This window comes from Homo sapiens, chromosome 10 (genome assembly GCF_000001405.40).
Source record: "Homo sapiens chromosome 10, GRCh38.p14 Primary Assembly".
Lineage (NCBI taxonomy): Eukaryota > Metazoa > Chordata > Mammalia > Primates > Hominidae > Homo > Homo sapiens.
Window position 1 is genome coordinate 99,478,308 of NC_000010.11, and position 1,942 is coordinate 99,480,249.

The following is a 1,942-nucleotide window of genomic DNA, read 5'->3' on the forward strand; positions in this document are numbered from 1 at the left end:
TTAATGAACAAACTAGGAAAAGTTCGGAGCATCCTCAACCTGATTTTTTTTTTAAATCTCTAAAAAATCTACAGCTAACATACTTAACGATGAAAGACTGAATACTTTCTCCCTGTGAGCAGGAACATGATAGTAATATTTACCCTTAATACTCCTATTCAACACTGTACTGAGAATGTAGACAATGAAATAATAAAGAAAAGAAAATGAAAGCATCCAGTGGGGAAGAAAGAAGTAAAATGTTCTCTATTCACAGATGACATGATCATCTATGCAGAAAGTCTTACAGAATTTACAAAAAAACTTCTAGAATGAGTTCAGCAAGGTTGCATGATACAAGATCAATATGCAAAAAATAATGATATTTCTATACACCGGCAATGAACAATTGGAAACTGAAATTTTAAAATACTGTTTACAAGAGCATTGAAAGATGTAAATGCTTATGTATAAATCTGACGAAGGATGTAAATGCTTATGTATAAATCTGACAAAAGATGTGGAAGAATTGTACATAGAAAACTTCAAAGCAACATTGAGAGAAATTAAAAACCTAAATAGATACACCATATTCATGACTCTGAAAGCATAAATTTTTAAGATGTTGATTCTCCCCAAAATGATCTGTAGATTCAATGCAGTTTCAATAAAAATCCCAGCAAACTTTTAGTAGAATTTGAAAAATTATTTCTAAAATTTATATGGAAATGCAAAGTCCGAAGAACTTTGAAAAGAAGCATTGTCCAAACAACTTTGAAAAAGGAAAAGTAGAAGGACTAACACTATTATAAAGCCACAGTAATCAAGATAATGTATCACTAAATCAATGTCCGACAATCAGTAGCATTTCTTTTTTTTCTTTTTTTTTTTTTTTGAGATGGAGTCTCGCTCTTGTTGCCCAGGCTGGAGTGCAATGGCGCGATCTCAGCTCACTGCAACCTCCGCCTCCCGGGTTCAAGCGACCCTCCTGTCTCAGCCTTCTGAGTAGCTGGGATTACAGGCATCCGCCACCATGCCCAGCTAATTTTTTGTATTTTTAGTAGAGATGGGGTTTCACTATGTTGGCCAGGCTGGTCTCAAACTCCTGACCTTGTGATCCACCCACCTCAGCCTCCCAAAGTCCTGGGATTACAGGTGTGAGCCACCACGCCCAGCCCAGTAGCATTTCTATACACCAATAACATCCAGGGTGAGAGTCAAATCAAGAACACAATCCTATTTATAACAGGAATAAAGAAAATGAAATACCTAGGAATACAGCTAATGAGGGAGGTAAAATATGACTACAATGAGAATTACAAAACACTGCTCAAAAAAATCAGATGATGCAAATGAATGGGAAAACATTCCATCCTCATGCAAAGGAAGAATCAATATCATTAAAATGGCCATACTGCCCAAAGCAACTTACAAATTCAATGCTATTCCTAACAAACTACTAATGCCATTCTTCACAGAATTAGAAAAACCATTCTAAAATTCATATGGAACCAAAACAGAGCCTGAATATCTAAAGCAATCCTAAGCAAAAAGAACAAAACCAGAGGCATCACACTACCCAACTTCAAAATATTCTATATAAGGCTACAGTAACCAAAACAGCATGGTACTGATACAAAAACAGATACATCGACCAATGGAACAGAAGAGAAAACTCAGAAATAAAGCTGTACATCTCCAACCACCTGATCTTCAACAAGGCCAACATAAACAATGGGCAAAGGACTCCCTATTCAATAGATGCTGCTGAGATAACTGGCTAGGCATATACAGAAGAATGAAACTGGACCCTTTCACCGTATGTAAAAATTAACTCAAGATGGATTAAGATTTAAATGTAAGACCTCAAGCTATAAAAATCCCAGAAGAAAACCTAGGAAATACCTGTCTGGACATCAACCTTGGCAAAGAATTTTTGGCTAAGTCCCCAAAAGCAATTGCA